The 24,392-nt window shown below is 40.3% G+C and overlaps 2 long non-coding RNA genes across 2 annotated transcripts in view, besides 1 other annotated feature; one reads left to right on the top strand and one right to left on the bottom strand.

The window, feature by feature from the left end:
* The first annotated feature begins 1,000 nt into the window (after positions 1–1,000).
* LINC01625 (long intergenic non-protein coding RNA 1625) lies at positions 1,001–6,602 on the top strand. Its single transcript, NR_033919.1, has 4 exons — positions 1,001–1,031; positions 2,542–2,665; positions 3,002–3,070; positions 5,137–6,602. It is a non-coding gene; the product is annotated as a long intergenic non-protein coding RNA 1625 (long non-coding RNA).
* Positions 2,112–2,612: an enhancer, noted in NCBI's record as "H3K4me1 hESC enhancer chr6:139794122-139794622 (GRCh37/hg19 assembly coordinates)". NCBI's record gives its function as "activates a minimal SCP1, AML or CMV promoter by ChIP-STARR-seq in primed H9 embryonic stem cells {active_cell/tissue: H9 hESC(primed)}" and the evidence as "EXISTENCE:reporter gene assay evidence [ECO:0000049][PMID:30033119]".
* Positions 6,603–17,894: 11,292 nt separating the features above from the next.
* The window catches only part of LOC107986651 (uncharacterized), a 38,036-nt gene continuing 31,538 nt past the window's right edge, over positions 17,895–24,392 (bottom strand). Inside the window, exons 5-6 of the long non-coding RNA XR_001744382.1 lie at positions 23,928–24,039; positions 17,895–17,979 (exon numbers count right to left, since the gene is read on the bottom strand). This is a non-coding gene — a long non-coding RNA (uncharacterized LOC107986651). The remainder of the gene's footprint in view (positions 17,980–23,927; positions 24,040–24,392) is intronic.

The following is a 24,392-nucleotide window of genomic DNA, read 5'->3' as shown; positions in this document are numbered from 1 at the left end:
CAATATATTCCAGCTCCAGTTATTCACTACAAATGGCCACACTGTTTACTGAAGGCTGGCGTGTCAGTTGTTGAAGGAAGAAGGGACCGAAGTAGTGCCTGTCTCCAGAAGCCCAATTTCTAACCCCTCTGGGGTTCCAGCCTCCTAGCGAGTAGACGAAGACTGCCAAAGGTTGATCTCCAAATTGAGTTTCTCCAAGGCCAGCTTGCAGAGGCCTGGCAATCAGAAGAGGATACTAAAGGAGCATCCTAACGACAGACACACTGAAAATAATTATCCTGATTCACAAACACCCTCAAAGCTATGAGAATGGTCTTATAAGCAAGGTCTGCTTTAATGGAAACATAAGTATTATGCATTGCAGTCTATCGTAAATTGGTTGTAATTTTCTCCTGACACTTTCTGAATTAAACTAGTTAGTATACGAAAAATAATAATAATAATAATAAAATAATAATAATAAATGCCACAAAGCAAAAGCAAACTGGGTGTCTGAAGGTTAATGATTGCTCATGAAAGCCACAGAAATAAATTATCTGCCTAGGGACACTGTCACATGATCAGCACAAAAGCTGCAACAGCCAAAAATGTTTATGTAGAGGAAAAAAACACATCAGCGTCACAGAACCCTTCCCCCCACAGCTAAATTCAAGTCCTGAGCCAGCCAGCTGCTCCTGACTGCTTACATTAAACTAATTTGTGCTGCTACATTGCAGCTGCTTAATTTTTAGTCTGAACTTTATCACCAATAAGTGTTACAATAACAAGCGATATGATGGTATCTCTGAAGAAATATCCATCAACCCCCAAACAATGACAACCTCACAAGAGTACACTGCAGAAAAACAAATTTAAAAAACAACAACAAAAAAAAACAAAAAAAAAACACAAAAAAAGAAAGGAAGAAAGAAAATTACCCCCACACTGCCTCTTTAAAGGGGGGGAGGGGCAAACTTTTAGTGGGAAAGGCTTTAAAATGCTGCTTTGTTCCAAAGGCCATTCTGCAATGATGAAGGGGGATGATTGAAAAGGTTAGTAGCAGGGGAAGAGTTAACAAGTAAGATGTGCTTTTGCTAAGAGGGGGTGATTTGCAAGGTGAGAGCTTTAGAAGGGGGAAGGCAATTTCCTTACAACAATGCAATCGGTACTTTCTGTCTTGCTCACAGTCCTCCAAGACGTTATGCAAACCCAAACTGCAGCCTGGGCGGTAATTTCAGAGTTGCCCCAAACATTATTCTTTGGCCAGCCGGGTACTGGAGCTTACAATATTCCGTGTTGTTCCCCATGTTTTCCTGTGTTATTTTCCTAGCTCAGTGCAAATGCAGAAACTCTTCTTTGGGCAGAAAGAGACACTGACCTGAACTGGTTTAAATTCCTGCCAAATATGCAGGCACTGTTTTTGCTACATTTTGGAATTTGGCTTAGACCATATGTCAGGCATTTATTTGTACTCAGAACTAGAATGGAGACCTAACAACTTCAAAAAATAAAAGCTTTTTTGTTTTTAAAGCATTAAGAATGTCCTGAAAGTTTTCTATTATTAATTAATCTGAATATGATTAATGTTTTTAGTTAAGATATCTCATTACACACTCTCCTGTTTACTGCAGGGGAAATTCAGCTTCACCCTGCTCAGTAATTACAAAAACAATTCCTTTGAAAGCAAGGGAAGAACACCCGTGTCAGCTATTTACAGCATTTAAAAAATTCTGTGGTTTTCAGAATTAAGGTTCAAAGTGAATGTTATTAATGTTGAGTAATAAAGTAGTTTTTCTTGCACAGATATACTAAATGTAAAAAGAAATGTTTACACTGGAATGATTTTCCCAGGGTGGGAATCGGGGCTGGGGAGTTGGAGGTTTGGGCCCACCCTAGGTTTTTCAACTTGACATCTTTACATCTTACGGTTCCAGCCCAGGTCCTAGCAGATTTCTTTTTTCAGAGAGCTGGTAAATCACGCTACGGGACTGACTCAGAGTGCCACGGGGCATGGCCTTGTTTCGTGGGTTTCTGTTGATGATCCTCCACCGTGGCGGGGCAACTGTGTTTGCAAGAGCCCTCCAGGAGAGGATCCCGGGGAGAAGTAGATGGATGAGGAGTCCCTGGAGCCCATCAGGATTTCTCTTCCCCTCCCCCTCTCTGGTGCCAAATGGGTCACTTGCACAGTGCAAAGCTTTCTCTCCACAGAGCTCAGCGTGATACCTCCGTCTGCTGTTGGCAAAGCTTTAAGACTGCTGGGAACTCAGACGAAATCATCCACAGGCTTGGAGGTGTGGCAGGGTGTAACTAGAATGAGTGCAACTTTTTAAACGGCTCCTAACCATAGGCAGGCTGGGAAGGCCCCAAGACGGAAGGGCAGCCGAGGGGAGGGTCGCTGAACAGCAGCTTGATCTTAATGATAGAATTGGCAGCGGTGTTTGGTTGCTCTTGAACAGAGTAAAAGACCTTAATAGGCCAGACGTCCTATTAAAACCTCAATTGTGAAATTAGAAATTAACTTGATGGAATGTGACAGTCTATCTTACCTATCTGTTCTTTCAGAGCTGGACTAAATTGGTCTAACTAGGACACTTGAAGGCTTGTGAATCAGTTCACACGATCAGTGTGAAAAGCGGGTATGAAGACCCAGATGCTGGTGTGTACGTGTGCATATAAGCCCCAACAGGTATGAATTCAGAAGCAGTGGATATGCGGGTACTCTTCACTCTCAAGCAAGCCCCACATGACAGAAAGTTCTTGCTACCAGCCAGGAATGATCTCACAGGGTTGAGCAGTTTGAATTGGCTACTTTCCTGAAAATCTCTAGAAACAAATTCTTTTCGACATAGCCTTTTCCAGAACAGCACCAAATTAGAGTAAACTCCACAAATCCTGAATTAGAATCGTAATTCCGAAAAGCGGCTATCTTTATTCTTGTGGGTTCCATAAGCAGCAAGGGACTCTGGTCACCAGTTCCTTCATGGCGTCTCTGAACTTCCCTCAATCTCGCTTTGCTTTTTAGCTAGAAATCAAGCCTTTCTGGCTTCCGATTGTTGGAGAAGTGGAAACAGTTAATGGAGTATGCAATGAGGTATGTTGTAATTTCCAATTCACAGCATTAACGCTTGTAGTCATGAACTTGAAATGTAGCATTTTTCACAGAGGCAAAGTGTGGAAAGTAGTATATATGAGTAAGGAGTACAAATGTTGTTTTGCATTTTTGCTTACATCTGAGAGCATAGGCCAAATTATAGAGTGACAAAAGTCAGATATATAATTGTCTTTCATAGCATTTTTCTTCATAGAATTATAAATGACAAATGATTTATCTAAAATTAAAACCACTGTTACTATTAATATTTTTATATAAATATAAAGCATTTTTCCTCCTAAGATCTTACATGACTTTACAGATTATCAAAAGAGATAATGTATATGAAAGTGTTTTGCAAACTATGGATGCTATTACATAAAGATTATTGACATTATTATCACATCTGTCTCCAAATTTTTTTTTTTTATGGTGGAGTCTTGCTGTGTCACCCAGGCTGGAGTGCAGTGGCACGATCTTGGCTCACTGCAAGCTCTGCCTCCTGGGTTCACGCCATTCTCCTGCCTCAGCCTCCCGAGTAGCTGGGACTACAGGTGCCCACCACCACGCCTGGCTAATTTTTATATTTTTTAGTAGAGATGGGGTTTCACCATGTTAGCCAGGATGGTCTCAATCTCCTGACCTCATGATCCTCCTGCCTTGGCCTCCCAAAGTGCTGGGATTACAGGCGTGAGCCACCGCGCCCAGCCTCTCTCCAAATTTTAACAAGTAATTTATTCTAAGGGCTGGGTGCAGTGGGTCACACCTGTAATCCCAGCACTTTTGGAGGCTGAGATGGGAGGATTGCTTGAACCCAGGAGTTTGAGACCAGCCTGGACAACATAGGGAGATCCCATCTCTACAAAAAAATAAAAATTAAATAGCTAGTCATGGTGGCACACGCCTCCTACTCCTACTCGGGAGGCCGAGGCAGGAGAATCGCTTGAACCTGAAAGGCGGAGGTTGCAGTGAGCCAAGATCGCAGAACCCGGGAGGCAGAGATTGCAGTGAGCCAAGATCACGCCACTGCACTCCAGCCTGGGTAACAGAGTGAGACTCCTTTTCAAACAAACAAATAAACAAACAAAAAAATCTATTCTATCTTTTATTTGAAAGATAGGTAAACAAAGGTATATTGATTGTGCAAGATCTTCCAAGAAACAGAACTAAAAGACAAAAATCTTGTAACAATTCTTCACTCAACTAGAATGTATTGTCTGGTTACTGTGTGTATAGTAAGGGGGCAATCCTGATGTCATGCGACTGAAGACACACTCTGAATAAGTTCTTCTTTCTCAAAATATATATCTCCACCCACGTAAAGTGCCCTCCCATTCAAACATCAGGAAACTAGACAACAGAATGAGAGGTCAGTGTCTCTGAAATCCCTCAGTTGGCATGCACCCGGCTATGCTAGATCCAGAGCGGTGAATGGTGGGGAAGATTTGGACAGAGCAACTCCTACGCAGAGCAGAGCTATCCGTGAGGCTCACCTGACATCGTGCTCAGAGGCCGTGATACTTTTAGGTGCCCATGAAAATGTTTTAATTTCTTTTAAAATCAGAAGAAAAAAAAGGAACTTTTAGGTCAAAGAAAGTTTTTTTGTTTGTTTAGACAGAGTGTTGCTCTGTCACCCAGGCTGGAGTACAGTGGCGCGATCTTGGCTCACCGCAAGCTCCGCCTCCCAGGTTTAAGCAATTCTCTGCCTCAGCCTCCCCAGGAGTTGGGATTACAGGCGCCTGCCACCACGCCCGGCTAATTTTTTGTATTTTTAGTAGAGATGGAGTTTCACCATCTCGGCCAGGCTGGTCTTGAACTTCTGACATTGTGATCCTCCTGCCTTGGCCTCCTAAAGTGCTGAGATTACAGGTGTGAGCCACCACGCCCGGCCTAGAAAGCCTTTTTAATATATACCATATTCATCTTTATACCAACATGATCATAAAATACAATTTTCTACTTTTTCACTGGAGGAAAGAGCCCATGAAGGCAAAAAGTGCCTGGGTTAGTTTCCTATTACTGCTGTTACAAGTTCCCACACACTTAGTGACTTCATTATCTTACAGTTCTGGCGGTCAGAAGTCCAAAATGGGTCTTACACGACTAAAATCCAGATGTCGACAGGGAGGAAGAACTGAGGATCCTACATCATGTTAGGGAGCAGCAAGAGCACTGTAGTAAGACATAACCCTCCTTTGCCTCTCTATGTCCTCTGCCCCATGCTGCTTATGTCCTTATTGAAGTTAAGAGTCCGGCTGTCATTGAGAACCTCTGATACTGCACCATTTGATGAAGGGCTATGAAAAATTCCCCCGAGAACAGCAATGCACACTGATCCTACCAGCTCATTCACTAGAATACACTTTCTAAAGCCAATACTAATGGCTGTAGGCAAATAGAGCAGGACGGTCAAGATACCTCTACCCACTTCATTCTACGCATAGACTGTCTGGTTCTCTGAGGTCACAGCAGTATAATCTTAAGGTGACCATTAAGATCTGATTGACACATTTTCAGGATTTAAAGTAAAATTAAAAGAACGTGGAAGGCAGCTGTTTGTGGCACTGTAACAGATAGCCATGTTTACGAAAACAAATTCAAGTTGAGCAATGATCTGGCAGATTTTGTTTGCCAGGGAGGACCATTGAGCCAATGGGACCCACAATTTTCCCACTTCAAGAGATTTTTTTTTTCTCAATGACATTATATAACTGATTCAGATATCATTTTTCCTTTACATACCCAGACACAACCCTAGAGATGCCGAGCCCCCAGATATTTCACTTTTTATCAGATATTTGGCACAAAGAAACACTTCTGCAGTCTATAGTTTAAACTATACAACTGTCTGGGAAAACTTTGTGATTGTAGGTGCTAATTTCAACTGTCCTGTAACTCATTCCTCGGTATTACCATCTATAAAATGGATGTAGCAATAATAAATTAAGTCATGAAATTGTTTATGGGGAATAACCACTGATGGGATTATGTGGCACTTTACATACGTAAAATCCTAAGTAGTCCAAGCAATCAAAAGTAACATTTTCCAGTGACATCTCCATAAAAGCCACTTTCTTCTGAACAAATACAAACTTTCCAGAGATGTCTAAGCCACAGAACTGCACAGGCAGATGTGAAATGTAAGCCCTATAGAGAAACAGAGAAACGAAACAAAATCTGCATTTGAACATTGGAGTTTTATCACAATTGCAATACATCTAACAGTCTTCTTTGTTTTAGTTACTATACTTTTTCTTACCATCATGAAGAAAAGATATCACAGAAAATGATGTTAAAGACAGGCCTAACATACATTTTCTGAGCTTTCTGGTGAAAGATTATGTTTTCAAAAAACTTCTCCAAGGGAAACTCTTTGAAGTGTTTTTACTGCCATTTGATCAGTTAAAATTTTGTTATTTGCATTATTTTGAAATGTCTTTGTACTCTAAAGGCTGGTAAAAGAATGCATAATTGTGGAAAACAATTTAATAAATAAGAGAAAACTAACAACAACAATATAAAATACTTATGGAATTTCTGACTCCGAAGAATTGAAATGGGGAGAGGGTGACTAAAATGAAGAGAAAAGTTGACAAGTGAAATTTCAAGCAGTTTTATTTTTAATGGGAAAAAAATTCTCCACCATTAATGTGTAATCTGCACAAAGACAAGGTTAAAAAAAAGAAAGAGCAAAGTCAGGAAGGTCAGGGTGTTACATCGGATTTGTGCAGATAAATTATATAATAACACTTTGGATAGACGACTTAAGTGAAACTGGAATAATGACATCCTGAATACTGTTTGGCCACAAACAGTAGAAATTTCTCCCTTTGTAATGCCTTCCACCTCATCCCTGCAAAACAGGATAGGGAACGGAGCAAACTCTGAACAGCAGAGAACTACATCCAACCAACAACAGCAAAGAAGAGAAAAGAAACCATGAAGTGGGGTTATATTATTCCAAAATATTCTTTGACATTCCCTAGATTTTTTTTTTTTCCATTTTGCTACTGTACTTGCCCAACCATGCTGGGGTGTTATGCTATTTTAGACATGAGTTAACAGGTCTCTTTACATACACACATTTCCACATTCCAGTGAGACCTATTATATCCTTTTTCCTCCCTACCCCACCCTTGCAGCGTGCACACACACACCACCACTCTCTCTCCTTCTCCACCCACACAGTACCATCCCCCTCTAGTATTTTTTCCTTGTTGTTCAACAATTCCCCATTACTGAATGTTTCCAAGGCCATGCAAATCCACATGCCTGAGAAAGGTTTTCTACCATATGACATGGTTGATTCTGTGAAATAAAATAGCTGTACACAGAAAGCAGGTAAAACAGAACAAATGGCAAGAAAAAGGAAGAGCTTTGACTTGGCTGGTAATTGAGAGGGTGGGAATAAACCTCAGGGGATCTTGTAGCCCTTGCTACTCAATATGCAATCCATGGACCCATAGCCTCAGCTGGGAGCTTGTCAAAAATGCAGACTCTCAGCTGGGCATGGTGGCTATAACTATAATCCCAGCACTTTGGGAGGTTAAGGCAGGTGGATTTCTTTTTTTTTTTTTTTTTTTTGAGATGGAGTCTCGCTCTTGTCGCCCAGGCTAGAATGCAGTGGCGGGATATCAGCTCACTGCAACTTCCGCCTCCCAGGTTCAAGTGATTCTCCTGGCTCAGCCTCCTGAGTAGCTGGGATTACAGGCGCCCGCCACCATGCCCGGCTAATTTTTGTACTTTTAGTATAGACGGGGTTTTGCCATGTTGGCCAGGCTGGTCTTGAGCTCCTGACCTCAGGTGATCCTGCCGACCTCGGCCTCCCAAAGTGCTGGGATTACAGGCGTGACCCACCACGTCCAGCAGATTTCTTTATTATTATTGTTATTTCAATAGTTTCGGGGAAATAGGTGGTGTTTGGTTACGTGGATAAGTTCTTTGGTGGTGATTTTTGAGATTTTGGTACACCCATCACCCGAATAGTGTACACGGCACCCCAGGAGGATCTCTTGAGCCCAGGAGTTTGAGACCGGCCTGGGCAACATAGAGAAACCCCATCTCTATGAAGAATTTAAAAATTAGCCAGACATGGTGGCACACACCTGTAGTCCCAGCTCCTCAGGAGGCTGAGGTGAGAGGATCACTTGAGCCTAGGAGTGCAACACCAGCCTGGGCAACATAGTGAGACCCCCCCCATCTCCAGAAAAGAAAAATGCCTACTCTGCATCACACCTACTGAGTGCACATTCAAGACAGAGAAACATTTCACTGTGTCAATCTCCACTGAAGACACACTTGTCAATGATTTAAATATTTATATCCAATGGGGAGAAAACTCATAACTTCCCTGGGTACATATTCCAAGAACTATTAGCCTAAGTAATCAAGATGCAGCTGCACTCTCACCCTTCACCCATCGGCCTTCTCATAATTTATTGGGATTTTTTTTGCTCTATGTGCAGATTCCTATTCTCTCAACAACTTCATGGCAATGTAAGGTAATTACAGTCTGGCTGGATGAGATGGCTCACACCTGTAATCTCAGCACTTTGGGAGGCCAAGGCGGGCAGATCACTTGAGGTCAGGAGTTCAAGACCAATCTGGCCAACATGGTGAAACCCAGTGTCTACTAAAAATTCAAAAAAAAAAAAGAAAAAAATAGCTGGCCATCGTGCCACATACCTGTAATCCCACTTACTTGGGAGGCTGAGGCAGGGGAATAGCTTTAACCAGGGAGATGGAGGTTGCAGTCAGCCGAGATTGCTCCACTGCACTCCAGCCTGGGCAACAGAGACCCTTTCTCAAAAAACAAAACAAAAAAAAAGGATGACTACAGTCTAAAATGGTGGGCTTTGGAACAAAGACCTAAGGCCCCAATACTCTCTACCCACTCAGATATTTAATACTGTGATGGGTACTTCATCCTCCATCACACCCAGTGAAACTTCACAGAGAGAGAGAAGGGTGAGAATAGTATTACTCTCCCAGAGGCATTTTTATTTGAGTAAAAGAAATGACTGAATCTACAGTATTTGGCAGAGGAAAAGAAATTTTATTTTTTCCTTTTTATGCCAAGAAGTTGGGCTGGAGGACGTTCCCTTTATCAGGTCTTACAAGCATCAGCCTTGTTTACAAGGCCAGCCCTGCCTTCACTGCAGAGGCAGAAGGTTATTTTTTAAGCATCACTTGGAAGTTTATTGGAAAGTGCTTCCTAGGTCTTTGAAATAATGGAAAACAAGACATGAAGGATCAGAGCAGAATTATGCAAAGTCACCTTTAAAAAGGAAGAATTGCTCCGTGAAAAAAATAAGTCTACCCTAAAGGGGGCTCATTGCCATGGAAGGATGGTAAAGGAAGACTCCCAGAGGCAAACAGTGGCAGGGCCCATCCAGGTGCTCTGGGAATGTCCGCTCCCTCATCAGACTTTGAGGTTGATTGAGCATTTTCGGACCCACTGAAAATTCATTCTTTTAGTAGAGATGAATGCAAAACATGCTGCTAGACCTTAACAATTTCTGGTCCTATTGGCAAGATTATTCCCAATGCTGTTTAGATGTTTCAAGCCAACTTAACCTGATGCCACTATATATCCAATGTATCTAAATCCTACTTTTCAGATTCTGCCCTACAAAACAAATTTGAAGTATGGGTTGACTTGCCTTAAAGTTTGAGTACTCAAGGAAAGGGCTAATCATGGAGGTTCTAATATTCTGGTTCTTAAGGCCGTAACTTGTCACAGTCAATAAATGGGTTGACTTTCTAAATTATACATCAATCTTAAAAGCTGGGTTAACGTGACTCTCCCCACTGAGAAAGGAACACTTGCTCAAAATGTTGACACCTCAGCTTTCTGGGCCTACAAGCCTTAGGGCTAAAGACAAACTATGATAAGTTAATCAAAGCCCAAATGGCTGCTCTATGAAGCTTCTCCAGAGATAAACCTGGGCCCCTTAGTTTGTGGTTACCATACTATTATGAAAATGGGATTACAAATAAATCTCTAAGGTCTGTGGTTCATGAAACTTTCAGGACTCTGTTTTTTGTGTGTGTGTGTGTGTGTGTGTGTGTGTTTCTGAGATGGAGTTTTGCTCTTGTCACCCAGGCTGGAGTGCAATGGCTCAATCTTGGCTCACTGCAACCTCCGCCTCCCAGGTTCAAGTGGTTCTCCTGCCTCAGCCTCCCCAGCAGCTGGGATTACAGGCATGTGCCACCACGCCTGGCTAATTTTGTATTTTTAGTAGAGATGGGGTTTCATCATGTTGGTCAGGCTGGTCTCAAACTCCCGACCTCAGGTGATCTGCCCACCTTGGCCTCCCAAGGTGCTGGGATTACAGGCATGAGCCACCGCACCCAGCCACTTTCAGGACTCTTTAGAAATATTTAGAAATGTATCCTGTTTGCAAAGGCACAATAAAGTTGCGTCTTATAGACTATAGGCAATGAAGCTAACAATAAACCTTATTTAACACAAACCACATCCATATCCTCTGTTCATTTGATTTTGGAAAAAGTCTAGCATATCCAGTAGTTTCAGGGAATTCATTTTAACTTTAAGAATTCTCCTTTAATTTATAAATTTTGGACTGATTTTAATAGAGTTTTGGAAAACTATAAGAAATGCTTTGTTAATGTGTGTATTCCTATGTAAAACATATGGCTTCTCCTGTGTATATTTTTAAAAATTAAAGAAATGCACATTTAAAAAGTGAAAAAAAAAAAGAAAAAGAAATATTTACTTACTACTCCATAAAATGCTGGGAATACCATGGGAATGTCAAAGCACAATCATAAAGTCATCAAGGGGAAATTTTCACCTATCTATTTTTCCACAAATATTTTCTGTGTTTCTCCCATGTGCCTGGCACTGTGAGTAATTCTGAGAACACTTTGAATGGGGAAATAGACAAGTAAGAATCCAGAATGCAATGCGCTAGTGCAATAACAGAATAACAGGGCAGTTTTCTAAATTGTATCTGAGTTGAGACTTAAAGGGGACAAGGATTTGGCCAAGTTGGTGATCTAGGGAGAGAAACTGACTGATGTGCAAAATAAAATGGCTGAAACCATAAAGCAGTTAAAACAGAATGAACGGCAAGGGGAAGAAAGAACCATGACTCCTCTAGTAATTAAGAGACAGGATGAGCATAGATCCTGTAGTCCTTGCTGCTAAGATGTGGTCTGTGGACCAGCAGCATCAGCTGACATCTTACTAGAAATACAGATAGTCTTTTTTTTTTTTTTTTTTTTTTTTTTTTTGAGGTAGAGTCTCACTCTTTTGCCAGGCTGGAGTGCAGTGGCTCAATCTCGGCTCACTGCAACCTCCGCCTCCTGGGTTCAAGCTATTCTCCTGTCACAGCCTCCCGAGTAGCTGGGACTGCAGGCATACGCCATCAACCAGATGGTCGGCAGGGAGTGGTGGCGCATGCCTGTAATCCCAGCACTTTGGGAGGCTGAGGCGGGTGGATCACCTGAGGTCAGGAGTTCAAGACCAGTCTGTCCAACATGGTGAAGCCCCCGTCTCTACTGAAAATACAAAAATTAGCCGGGCGTGGTGGCGGGCGCCTGTAATCCCAGCTACTCGGGAGGCTGAGGCAGGAGAATCGCTTGAGCTCGGGAGGTTGCAGTGAGCTGAGATGGCACCATTCCACTCCAGCCTGGGCAACACAGTGAGACTCCGTCTTTAAAAAAAAAAGAAAAGAAAAGAAAAAGAAATACAGATGGTCCCCAATTTATGATGATTCTCCTTAGGATTTTTCAACTTTACGATAGTACAAAAGCAATATGCATTCTGTTCACTCATTTACTCATGATGAAGTTAGGTCTGGAAAAATCTATTATAAATTGAAAATATTGTAAATTGATGAGTTTATCTGGATGTAACCCCATTGTCAGTTGAGGAGTGTCTGAATAGAATTTACAGCCCCATCTGAATTAGAATCCGTATCGTGGCATGTTTAGAGAACTACATGTCTTTCCGTATTGTTAGACGGTAAAGTCGTTAAAAAATAGCCAGAGACGAACCAAAAAAGTAAGGGAGGGCTAGATTGTAAAGAGTCATATTTGCCATATAAAGGGGTAAGTTTGGCTGGGCGCAGTGGCTCACGCCTGTAATCCCAGCACTTTGGGAGGCCGAGACGGGCAGATCACTTGAGGTCAGGAGTTCGAGACCAAGACCAGCCTGGCCAATGTGGTGAAACCCCGTCTCTACTAAAAATGCAAAAATTAGCCAGGCTTGGGAGCACGCACCTGTAATCCCAGCTACTCGGAAGGCTGAGGCGGGAGAATCACTTGAACCCAGGAGGCAGAGGCTGCAGTGAGACGAGATCCCACCACTGCACTCCAGCCTGGGCTACAGAGAGAGACTCCGTCTCAAAAAATAAATAAAAATAAATAAATAAATAAATAAATAAATAAATAAATAAAGGGGTAAGTTTAAGAATTGCAGAGTGGAGAGATAACAGATTTTTATATTCAACATGTCTCTAACAGCAGGGTGATCACTTCTCGGGCTTTTGGCTAAGATTAAGCCTAACAGCAGGGTGAAGAATGGATTCAATCTAAGACAAGTTTACTAGTTCTAACCAAAACAAACAAACAAAAAGTGGAATTAAGGCAGATCTAGTAAGAGTTTTTTGAGAGGCAGACGGGACAAGAACTAATGACTGATTCATCTAAAGATTAAGGGAGAGGAAGGAGAAGACTAAGATTCTTGTTTCTAACTTGGATACCTACCTGGATGATGATGCTAGTCATACAGATGAAAAAAATGGGAGGGAAAATATGCTTTGGGGTCAGAATGGTCTCTCCCAGACATGTTGTATATGAGGAAGTTTGTACACAACTATGTAGAAAGAGCTATTTATATATTTGGACCAAAGGAGTTATATGTTTGAAGCAAAACTAAGGAAAGTTACAGAAACGCAGACCTAGAAATCACCGACACAGAGAATAATTGATGCCACAGACAAAGATATTATTTAATATTTGCCAAGAAGGTTGTGAAAAGTGAGAAGAGAATCTTCCTCCTGCTTATTTCTGCACAAAGTTCTCTCCTCTTTCCCTTACTGCCCCCCAACAAAAATTCTAGTGTACTGTTGTCATTGCTGGTGAAGATCAAGTTCTAGTTTCTGAAATTTTTTGTGACATTTCTAATTATCTCTGAAACATATCTGCCCAAAATTCCGCTTCATTATGGTTATACCTTGGATCAGATGATTGTATGTGAATCTGATTTTAAAATGCATACCTATAATTTCTGAAAATTAATGTATTTTCCACTCTCAGAAAGATGTGCATTTTGCAAGGTCATTTACCTAGTTCTTATGTTTAGAGCAATAGCCAAAGATACGTAATTCCCTGGTGATTTCTAACACCCATGGCCCACCAATATCAGGCATTTTGGAAAACAGACGAGCTTTGCGCTGATCTTCCTACCACACCGCTACATAAATGCTACTAGTTCTCTTCCCCCTTTCTCTCCCAACAAAAGGCCCATTAAAACCAGGAATGAAGTGATATGATGTCTTGGATTGGATTTAAAATAATCCAGTGGTGTTCAGATGGAGAGAGAAAGGGGTTGGATGGGAATATATATGAAAACAAGACTGGTCATGAGTTTATTATGGTTGAAGTTAGATGAATAATATTGGAGTTATTTTTGTGTATGTTTGAAATTTCCATAATAAAAAGTTTTCTTAAAAAAAAATAAGAAATTATGATCAGCGATTGACTCTAATTTCTTGCTCAGGACCACATTTCTAAGGACAGGGCAGTACACAAAGTAAATAATAGTTTATCTTTGGATTGGCCAATACTCTCCAACTATCACTCTTTGCTTAAGGCGTTTTTGTCATTCCAATTAATCTAACATCATTCAACATGTTCATTAACATTATACTTACTACATCTTCCAAATCATAATTAATAGAAATAAGACCAAGTGTTTTATGGTGGTATAAATCATTGGGAAAACCTTCTCAATTATATAGTTGATGAAAAGCAATAAATGATAATAATTCTGCAAATTCACCTCGAGATGATCCTCAACAGATCCACAAGGTTCATTTATTTAATTTAAATTCCTACATAGTACATTGAAATATCTCCAATATTTCAAAAGCCAAAGTTAAAAAAATAAAAGTATAATGACAGTTATGTCTAATTTAGCTTTTAATCTATTGTTGGGGGGTTGGGGGAAAAAAGATATTTTTACAAGAAATATTTACAAATAGAGCCGCAAAGTCTCTCACTCAGTTCACCAATTAGAAACAAATCAGAAAATACATTTTTTAAAACATTGATTTTTTGAGCACATGTATGAAAATTTCTAATATCAAGTGAGTAAAGAAATATGTGTTTATTTTTGATGCCATAATATGTTGCTAAAATAATACAGAGATAAAGAATTAACTGGACCAGAGATGTTATACATTGTTGTGAAAAGGATTCTTGAGTCCAAAAAGGTAGAGAAATAATTAATGCTGTGTTTCAATCCATGTTAATATTCTTACCCTCAATAAATGTATACAATTATTATTATTATTATTATTATTATTATTATTATATATTTTTGACATGGAGTCTCACTCTGTCACCCAGGCTGGAGTGCAGCGGCATGATCTTGGCTCACTGCAATCTCTGCCTCCCGGGTTCAAACAACTCTCCCTGCCTCAGCCTCCCGAGTAGCTGGGATTACAGGCATCCGCCACCATACCCAGCTAATATTTGTATTTAGTAGACATTGGGGTTTCACCCTGTTGGCCAGGCTGGTCTCAAACTCCTGACCTCAACTGATCCGCCCGCCTCGGCCTCCCAAAGTGCTGGGATCACAGGTGTGAGCCCCTGCGCCCGGCCTCAACAAACATTTATAAACATCTACCACAGGCCAGGTACTTTCTAGGCACTGGAAATAGAGTGCTGAGTGAAAGAGACCAAGCAGCTAGAATAACCTTATATTCTAGCAGGAGAGACAAGCACAAATAAAGGCATAGATATGTGCTGTGCAAGTAGCGATAGGTGCAAAGAGAAATTAAAAGGAGTAACGGAGATGAAGAGATTGAGAGGAGGCGCAGGCCACCTATTTTAGTGGCTTCTCAAGAGCACATTGTTCCACAGTTTTTAGAAGGTTTTCCTCTGGATATAAATGTTTAAATGGTTGGCATCCACCTGTTTTAGTTTCTCAGAGTAGCAAATGATCTAGTTAATCTCCTAAGGTTCCTTTCTGCCCTATTACTTTATTATCAACAACTTCATAATTAACCACATTATGAACAACTCTGTTTTTAGAAATTTGTTCAAAATTTAATATTTATGAAATTCTAACAGTTTCATGGTCCATCTTCCCTAATTCTCTTTTCATTCTAACAGATTCTTTCTCTGTTCCCTGTCCCACTGGCCACACAAATTACTGACATGGATCATAAGTCAGGTATTCGATGTGGAAATACATTAATAATTGTATATACTGAAAAAGCTACACAAATTGTGTTCAGTAATTTTACTACTCACATCCCAGATTCTCCCTGCAGAAGCTGCTGACATATCACAACCTGGCCACAAATTAGTGGACCAGGGTCAACTTCTGAGTCGAGGTCCAGACTGGTCATCAACTCATGGGAACACCAGCACCAAACCTCTGCCCTAAACCAGGTGCCTTAAACCAGGTCTCATGGGATACTATCTCATGGGAAATTTAAAACTGAGGCTCGGAAGTATGTCAGCAAATACAAAGCACTGTGGAAATAAGTGTGCAGTCAGTGCCATGAAGCAATAGAAGCAGAGTGTAATAACAAGGCACGTTCTATGGAGAATGAAAGTGAAGAGAGAATTGCACTATGGAGAAAAAGCAGGTAGACTGGGCACGGTGACTCACACCTGTAATTCTAACACTTTTGGAGGCCGGGAGGGTGGATCACTTGAGGCCAGGAGTTCGAGACCAGCCTGGACAACACAGTGAAACCTGTCTCTACCAAAAAATACAAAAATTAGCCAAGCGTGGTGGTGTGCGCCTGTAGTCCCAGCTACTCGGGAGGCTGAGGCATGAGAATCTCTTGAACCTGAGAAGCAGAGGTTGCAATGAGGCAGGATCATGCCACTGCACTCAGCCTGGGCGACGGAGTGAGACCCTGTCTCAAAAGAAAAAAAAAAAAAGGAAGGTAGAGGAGTTTTGTCCCAAGAATAGCCTCCTCAGAGAGATGCTGTTGGTCACCATCTATCCTCCCAGCCTCCTTGAAGCATCACTGTATGGCATATGCCAGGAACTTTCCCGAGATAAGTCCTCCTTACTTCCCCAGGGTTTATTCTTACTTAAAAGCCTGTCAACTGAGGTTAACTGACAGTTACCAAACAGGATTAAAACTACATTTAATGAAGTTTACCATCACCATTTATGCAACAAGATGACCCTCTTAGTCTGGCTGATGAGGCCACTTATCAATAACATATTCCAAAGGCTCATTGTATGCAGAGCATTCCAGAAAACATAAATGGCACAGGAACATTATGATCCCATGAAAGGGAAATTAATAAATAGTAGCACTCTGCATAAAGTTTTACAGGAAGTTTAACGTGAAGAATTGCATCACTGCAATACAGTCATGATTAGGAGCACACACTCCGGACCTCTAGACTGCCAGGGTTTGGTTCCCAGCCCCCCAGCTAAAAGCTGTTCAGTTTTGAGCAGATAACTCCAATCTTTCTACACCTCAGCATATTCATTTGTAAAACTGAGAATATTAATAGTTCTGCTGCAGAAAGTATTGCAATAATTAAGTGAGTTAATATGTGTAAAATGCTTATTGTTTCACTAATAGTTTATGATAGTGAAAAGGATGGAATCTACAAGTACAAATATTGTGAATGATAAAAAGAAAAAGATTGGGCTGGGCGCAGTGGCTCATGCCTGTAATCCCAGCACTTTGGGAGGCTGAGGCAGGCGGATCATGAGGTCAGGGGATCGAGACCATCCTGGCCAACATGGTGAAACCCCATCTCTACCGAAAAAAAAAAATACAATTAGCTGGGTGTGGTGGCGCATGCCTGTAATCCCAGCTACTCGGGAGGCTGAGACAGGAGAATTGCGTGAACCCGGGAGTCGGAGGTTGCAGTGAGCCGAGATCTCGCCACTGCACTCCAGCCTGGCGACAGAGCGAGACTCTGTCTTGAAAAAGCAAAAGCAAAAGAAAAAGATTGTTTCTATGATATATTTATCCTTTACATTGGTGCTAGTGTTTTACCATGCATAAAGCCTCCCCAACAAGACTATAAACTCTGGAAAATTCAGAACCATGTTTAGTTTGCACGTTGTTGTCTCTTGGGAACTCTCACAGTTTCTAGCACATAGTAGGTGCCCAGTAGTATTTGTTAAATTAACAACTGGCTAATCTCAGCCCTCTTGTATATCCTTGTCAATATACTCAATTATATACTCAATAGTACAATCCTGCCTCACATTTATTTTTACTTTTTATCTTTCACATATAGGTTTTATCTATTTACCTTGCCACTTCATTTATCTCTGGATGCATAACTCTCCTTGACAGTAGTGCAAGGGGATTCACACTTACTGTGACCATATTCCTGCTTGCTAAAACACTTGTCCCACTTAGAAGTCTTTTCTATCTATTCTTTAAGTGTAAACACTTTATCACATGTATGCTTCATTCTAGATTCTGCCAGAAACGGAGTAGAAAAACTGTGGCTCACCCGGGACCCAGTCTTTCCCCAGGTTCCCCACAGATGAGCTCTGAATCTGTTATAATTGACTCACCACGACCTGCATGTACACATGGAATTCCTCATGGCATCCTTAGATCTTTTTTGCCACATCCTTTTGCTCTGACTCGAAGAGGAAGCCAACCCATCTCTTCGCTGGCCTGTGCCACAGATGCATTCCATGTCAATACCATCTGTGATCCCGACGGAAATGATAGTTAAAATTTGTTGCATCTGTTATTGAGCCTATCTTTGTAGTAGGAGTAATGAAATTTGGCTTCCAAACTAATTCATCTTTATGCAGATAGCCCAAACTAACCTGCAATTAAAACACTGAAAGTAGTCACAACTGGGAGATACAAAATAAATGTGGGAAAAAGTTCTTTTTCAATAAAGAAGCTTGATTAGTTTGAGAAACATCAACTCCAAGGACTATAATCTAAGCTGGTAGAAATTAAAATTATGGGAAAATAGAATTTTGCCGATAGACTTGAAACTGTGAAAATAAGTAGTGTTTGATAACCTGAAATAAACTCTTTCTAAAGCACTATTTTTATAGTGGAACCAGGGGCAGCTATTATTTTGTTATTATTTTAATTGTTTGTGAACATATGGGATAAAGAAAAGGAGCATGAATGTGATTGCAGCTACAGTATATCTAGAAGAGTCAATTAAATTTATGTTCTAAAGGAGCATAAGAATGATGATTCTGTCACTCAGAATTGAAGATGTTTAATGTATATTGTAAACTGGTAATGTTTAAGATTTTCAGATAGTGTGTATATTGATTAAACAAGATATTGAGAGATTTCAAATGGCCAAAAAGTAGAATTGTCTTTATGTATATCAAAATATATTTTTGAAACTTCTGAATTTCTCAGTCATATAAACAATAAACATCTACCTCTAGAAGAAAATTTAATCCTATTTTACTTAGTTGGACATACTCTTTCATACACAAGAACACTTTGCTGGTTTTCCAGTGATCACACAAGTGACTGGTGATAGTTGGACCACAGCCCCATTGCTCCACACTTCCTCCGGGCCCCTGTGAGTCCACCCTGTACTCAACAGAGTACAGACAGTTTAACTAGTTAGCCAGAAAATCCTGGGAAATCTGTCTCAGTGTAGACTATTCAAAGCTGGTATGCATCATTGTAATTTACTAACAGTGAATATTGATTCTGCCACAAAGATAAAATAATCTTTGCTTTCAATAAAAATAAAGAATTGGCCAGGCGCGGTGGCTCATGCGTGTAATCCCAGCACTTTGGGAGGCCGAGGCGGGTGGATCATGAGGTCAGGAGATCGAGACCATCCTGGCCAACACGGTGAAACCCCATCTCTACTAAAAATACAAAAAAGTAGCCGAGTGTGGTGGCGGCAGCCTGTAGTCCCAGCTACTCAGGAGGCTGAGGCAGGAGAATGGTGTGAACCCAGGAGGCGGAGCTTGCAGTGAGCTGAGATCGCACCACTGCACTCCAGCCTGGGTGACAGAGTGAGATTCCATCTCAAAAAAAATGTAAATAATTAATTAATTAATTAATTAATTTTGCCAAAGATTCAAGAGATAATTCCTTAGTAAAGAGATAACTTTATGGCTTTAGTTTCATGGATTAATCTATCTTAAACTATGAAGATTACAGAATAAGACATTCTTAGGGCCATTTCACATAGATGAATCAAAAATTCAATCTTGAGAAGTACAAACAAAAGCAAAAATTAAATGCTATTCCAGAGAAACATCTTTCGAGTCTTACCCTACCATATTGGTTGCTCAGTGTTGCATAGGTATAAAGCAGGATCAAAATTGTATTTAAAGAAGTTTTACCAGCATGATTTATACAGTAACATGGCCATCTATGGAAAGGAGCATCACTCTGGGGTTAGGTTGCCTAGATTCAAATTCAGGCTCTATAATTGCCTAGGTGCACACCTCAAACAATCTGCTTAATCTCTCCCAGTTCCCTCATATGGAAAAAAGTGTATAATAGTATCTAATACTTCTAAGGATTACTGTGTGGGTTAAAAAGCTAGTGTAGGCCGGGCACGGTGGCTCATGTCTGTAATCCCAGCACTTTGGGAGGCCAAGGTGGGTGGATCACGAGGTCAGGAGATCGAGACCATCCTGGCTAACACGGTGAAACTCCGTCTCTACTAAAAATACAGAAAATTAGCCAGGCGTGTTGGTGGGCGCCTGTAGTCCCAGCTACTCAGGAGGCTGAGGCAGGAGAATGGCATGAACCCGGGAGGCAGAGCTTGCAGCGAGCCGAGATTGTGCCACTGTACTCCAGCCTGGGTGACAGAGCGAGACTCCGTCTCAAAAAAAAAAAAAGGTAGTGTATAAAGTGTTTAGAACTGTCTGGCACATACTAAGTGCTCAATAAATATTAAGTTGCTATTATTGTTTTTATTAGTGCTAAGTAAGTAGGTCATCAATAACACATATTCATGGATTGTGAACACTTTAGAAGACATTGTGGATTTTCCAAAAGAAAAATATGACTTACCAAGAAGATTATGGTGCAGTGGAAGAAGAAAGAAAAATGCAAATATAACTGATAAAAACAAAAATGTAAATAGGACAATAAAGTCTAAGTTAAGTGGAATAATGTAAACAAATGTTACAAGTGTTAATAGCTATTATAATTACCCTACTACTATCCATTAGTGATCAATATTTAGTAAATTGTGCTTAAGTTCACACTTTTACCATCAAGACAATGGATTTTTTTTTAAAACAGGTGGCTGCAAAATTCTAAGAAACTCTTAATCCAAACAACATATTTTAAAAGCAACTATTGATTACTTAGCATGAAAAAGAACATTTATCTCAAAAAGCAGCTAAAATATGTTCATAAAACACTCAATCCATTCCTTTTAAAACAGGGATGCCAGCATTGTTAATCTTGTTCTACGCATTCTAGTCAATGCAGTAAGAGATGAAATGGAAATAAGAATTATAACTATTATTATTCATAAATGATGCTATGGTCTACTTAGAACTTTCAGGGAATACATTGAAAAACTATGATGATAGAACTAATAAGAATGTTCACCTAATATGATCGAAAACAAAGTACATACCCCCAAAATCAGTACCTTCTTAAATAATGCCAGCAATAGCAGTAAATGTAAGGATAAACAGATTCTTTTCATGATTGCAGTTTTAAAAAATGTTAAATACCTAGAAATAACTTAGAAAGGGTACGACTTCTGTATTTCCCCACCTCACACACACACAAAACACCTACAACAACTTACTGAGAGACAAAAGAAAACTTGAATAAAGTTCATATACCATATTCTTAGATGAGACTAAATATTATCAAAATACCTACTTTCCATGCATTAATTTATCATTTCCAGTCAATTATAATAAAAACATCAGTGAAGTTTTCTCAAAGTTGGCAAGGTGATTGTAGTATCCTCTGGAAGGATAATGCCAGATTTCATTTGGATTTAAGGAAATTAGAAAACATGTCATATATCCAAGCTTATGAAGCAAGGGTCATGCACATGCATATGCATAAGAAAGCCTGGAAGAAAATTATTTTAGTCATGTTTATCTCCGGATGATGGGATTATGGGTAGATTTTTGCTGTTGTTGTCCTCCTGCATTTGAGAAAATCTTTACAGTAACTACTTATCGATTTTTTTTTTTTTTTGAGACAGAGTTTCACTCTTGTCGCCCAGGCTGGAGTGCAGTGGTGCGTTCTCGGCTCACTGCAACCTCTGCCTCTTGGGTTCAAGCGATTCTCCTGCCTCAGCCTCCCGAGTAGCTGGGATTACAGGCACCCGCCACCACGCCCAGCTAATTTTTGTATTTTTAATAGAGACGGGGTTTCCCTGTGTTAGCCAGGATGGTCTTGAAACTACGGACCTCAGGTGATCCACCCACCTCAGCCTCCCAAAGTGCTGGGATTACAGGTGTGAGCCACTGCGCCCGGCCTACTTATCAATTTTAGAATTAGAGATAATATACATTTTTAAGAGAAAAGAGGAAATGAAAAAAATAAAGGAATAGCTTGGGCTTTGCAAGCAAAGATGAGAATTTTGCCATGGTAAGTAAAAACTGTATTCATACACTGAAAATCCACTTATGCGGCCTTTAAGCATATCATTATTAAATCCCGTGTTGCGACGAGGCAATCACACAGGTATAATCTATTAAACTTGTTAATTATTAATTTGTTAATCTGTTTTTGTTAACTATTAGCCTGTTAATTATTTATTAAAAAAAACATTTAATGCCCTCTAACTGAATTTGGCATTCAAGAAGAAGAAAATGACTAGAAATGGGAAAACCATTGAGGTGTGCTAAAAATGAAGATGCCTTTTGAGGAGAAGAATGCATGTGGGTAGTTGAGGCACCGGAGAGCACTTGGGCAGACAATGAGATGTGAGGTGGCTGCCAATGAGAAAGAATAGATTTTGCGGAATCTGTGCTGGCACTGGGTCAAGATTCCCAAGGTTCCTTACTCAATTTGAATCCATTTCACAAGGATTGAGAGAAGTCTCCTGTGACCTCAGCACACTATCAGATGCTGTAATGGCCACAAAAGCGATGTAAAACAGGGGCCTTGGGCAGGTGCAGTGGCTCACGCCTATAATCCCAGCACTTTGGGAGGCTGAGGCGGGCAGATCACCTGAGGCCAGGAGTTCAAGACCAGCCTGGCCAACATGGTGAAACCCCGTCTCTACTAAAAATAAAAAATTAGCCAGATGTGGTGGCACATGCCTGTAGTCCCAGCTACTTGGGAGGCTGAGGCAGGAGACTCGCTTGAACCCGGGAGACCGAGGTTGCAGTGACCCGAGATTGCACCACTGCACTCCAGCCTGGGTGACAGAATGAGACTCCATCTCAAGAAAAAAAAAAAAAAAACCATGACCCTTGCTCTCCAGGACCTTTCAATCTGGTTGTGAAGGCAAGTCAACACATGGACAATTTGAAAACAAGACAAAAGAATAAATAGATTAAGTGCCCATATGAGAGGCTCAGAGAATTGGTGTAATAGAAGGCCACTGAAGGATAAAATTTAGGGGCCAGAGTAGAAAGAGGAATGTTCATGCCCCAGGAAACATGTTGTGACTTGTAAGTTCAGCCCTACATCCTCCGTTCCCTCTTTGATGTTGCACAAGAATCACAAGTCCTACAGGCAAGCCCGTCTCCAAACTAGAAGTCAGCCCTTAGAAATAGCCCATCTGTTGAACAATAGCTTGGTCTCAAATTACATTCTTCTTTTTCTTATATCAAGGATTAATCATACCACTTTTTCCTGACAACACCCTTATATTTCCTAAATTCATGAAGCTGATATACCAAGATGTTTTTACACTAAAGTGAATTTATCCAAGCTGTGATAGTATGAGGGACTTGAGAGAAACCTTGGTCTAAACAGCTTTGAATCACATACAGAAAAACAATGTGGGCAATGATCCAGTATGAGAGCATGCTTTTCACATAGACTACTCTTGAGATCCATGTCAATATCAGATTGCATCAAAAATTTCAAAGGGAATTGGATTATTCTGTTGTCTTTGATTGAGATTCAGAGGCAAATGGAATTCAGGGTGAGATCTAAAGAGATAAGACCTTTGTTTTTGAAGAGATACCAAGGCCTTAAAGTGCTCAGAGATCATTCCAATAGAGAGGAGTTCAAATTACGAAGGAATTTAGCCTAACACACACAATTACATTGGATCCCACAGATAAACATGACATATAACAACCAGTAGTAGGTTGATGTAATAAAATCACAGTACAACTCATTACTTCAAGTTTTTTGTTATGTCATATGAAAACCAAAAATCTGTAGGAATTGGTGCATTTTTTTTACAATGAATTACTTTAATCATCCAGGATATTTCTGGAGCATAATGAAATATAACCCAGAGTTGGAATTTATGCATTCCCTGGATAGAGATACTTGGTCTCATATTCTGTCCTTGTATCAGGCAATAACACTGAAGATAATACACACTTAAAATGCACTTCAGCTTCTTTGGTAGAATTTCTTTGGCACCTGTTAAATTTTAAAGGGCTCTGTGAAAAGCATTTTCTTAACCATCCACTGGCTCTTGATTCATTCATGTGCATAGAAACACTCTGAAAGTTTAAAATTGAAAGTACATTACTTACCAAAAATTTTTCTCTGGCGTTTATTCTCACACGTCCGTGTTACAGGCCTACTCATAAGTGAACAGCCTATTTGGAATCCTTATGGTCCAGAATCATGAAGATCTCATACTGTCTGTTGTTTGGATAAATAAATATGAATGAATCTCATCATGCATTTATAATAAATTTTATCTCAAGTCCATGGTAATTTAGGTTCCAATTCTAAATAGTGGAAACTGAATCTTACAGCTATGTCCATGTGATTGAAATAACCAGATCTCCATTCACTCCGTTATTTCAACCACTTATTCATTGATGAGTATCACTGAATAGACAATTGTGTAGACAAAAGACAAAATGTTGATAAAATTCAAAGTACCAAACACAGGCCTCAGAAAAGTTGATGGCTTATACAGGGATGCTTAAAACCATACACAACAACCTACAATCCTCCCCAATGGGCCGCACCCTTCACTCTTGGGTATC

The sequence above is a fragment of the Homo sapiens genome, chromosome 6 (genome assembly GCF_000001405.40).
Source record: "Homo sapiens chromosome 6, GRCh38.p14 Primary Assembly".
NCBI classification, from domain to species: Eukaryota; Metazoa; Chordata; class Mammalia; order Primates; family Hominidae; genus Homo; species Homo sapiens.
This window is presented reverse-complemented; position numbering and strand designations above follow the sequence as displayed.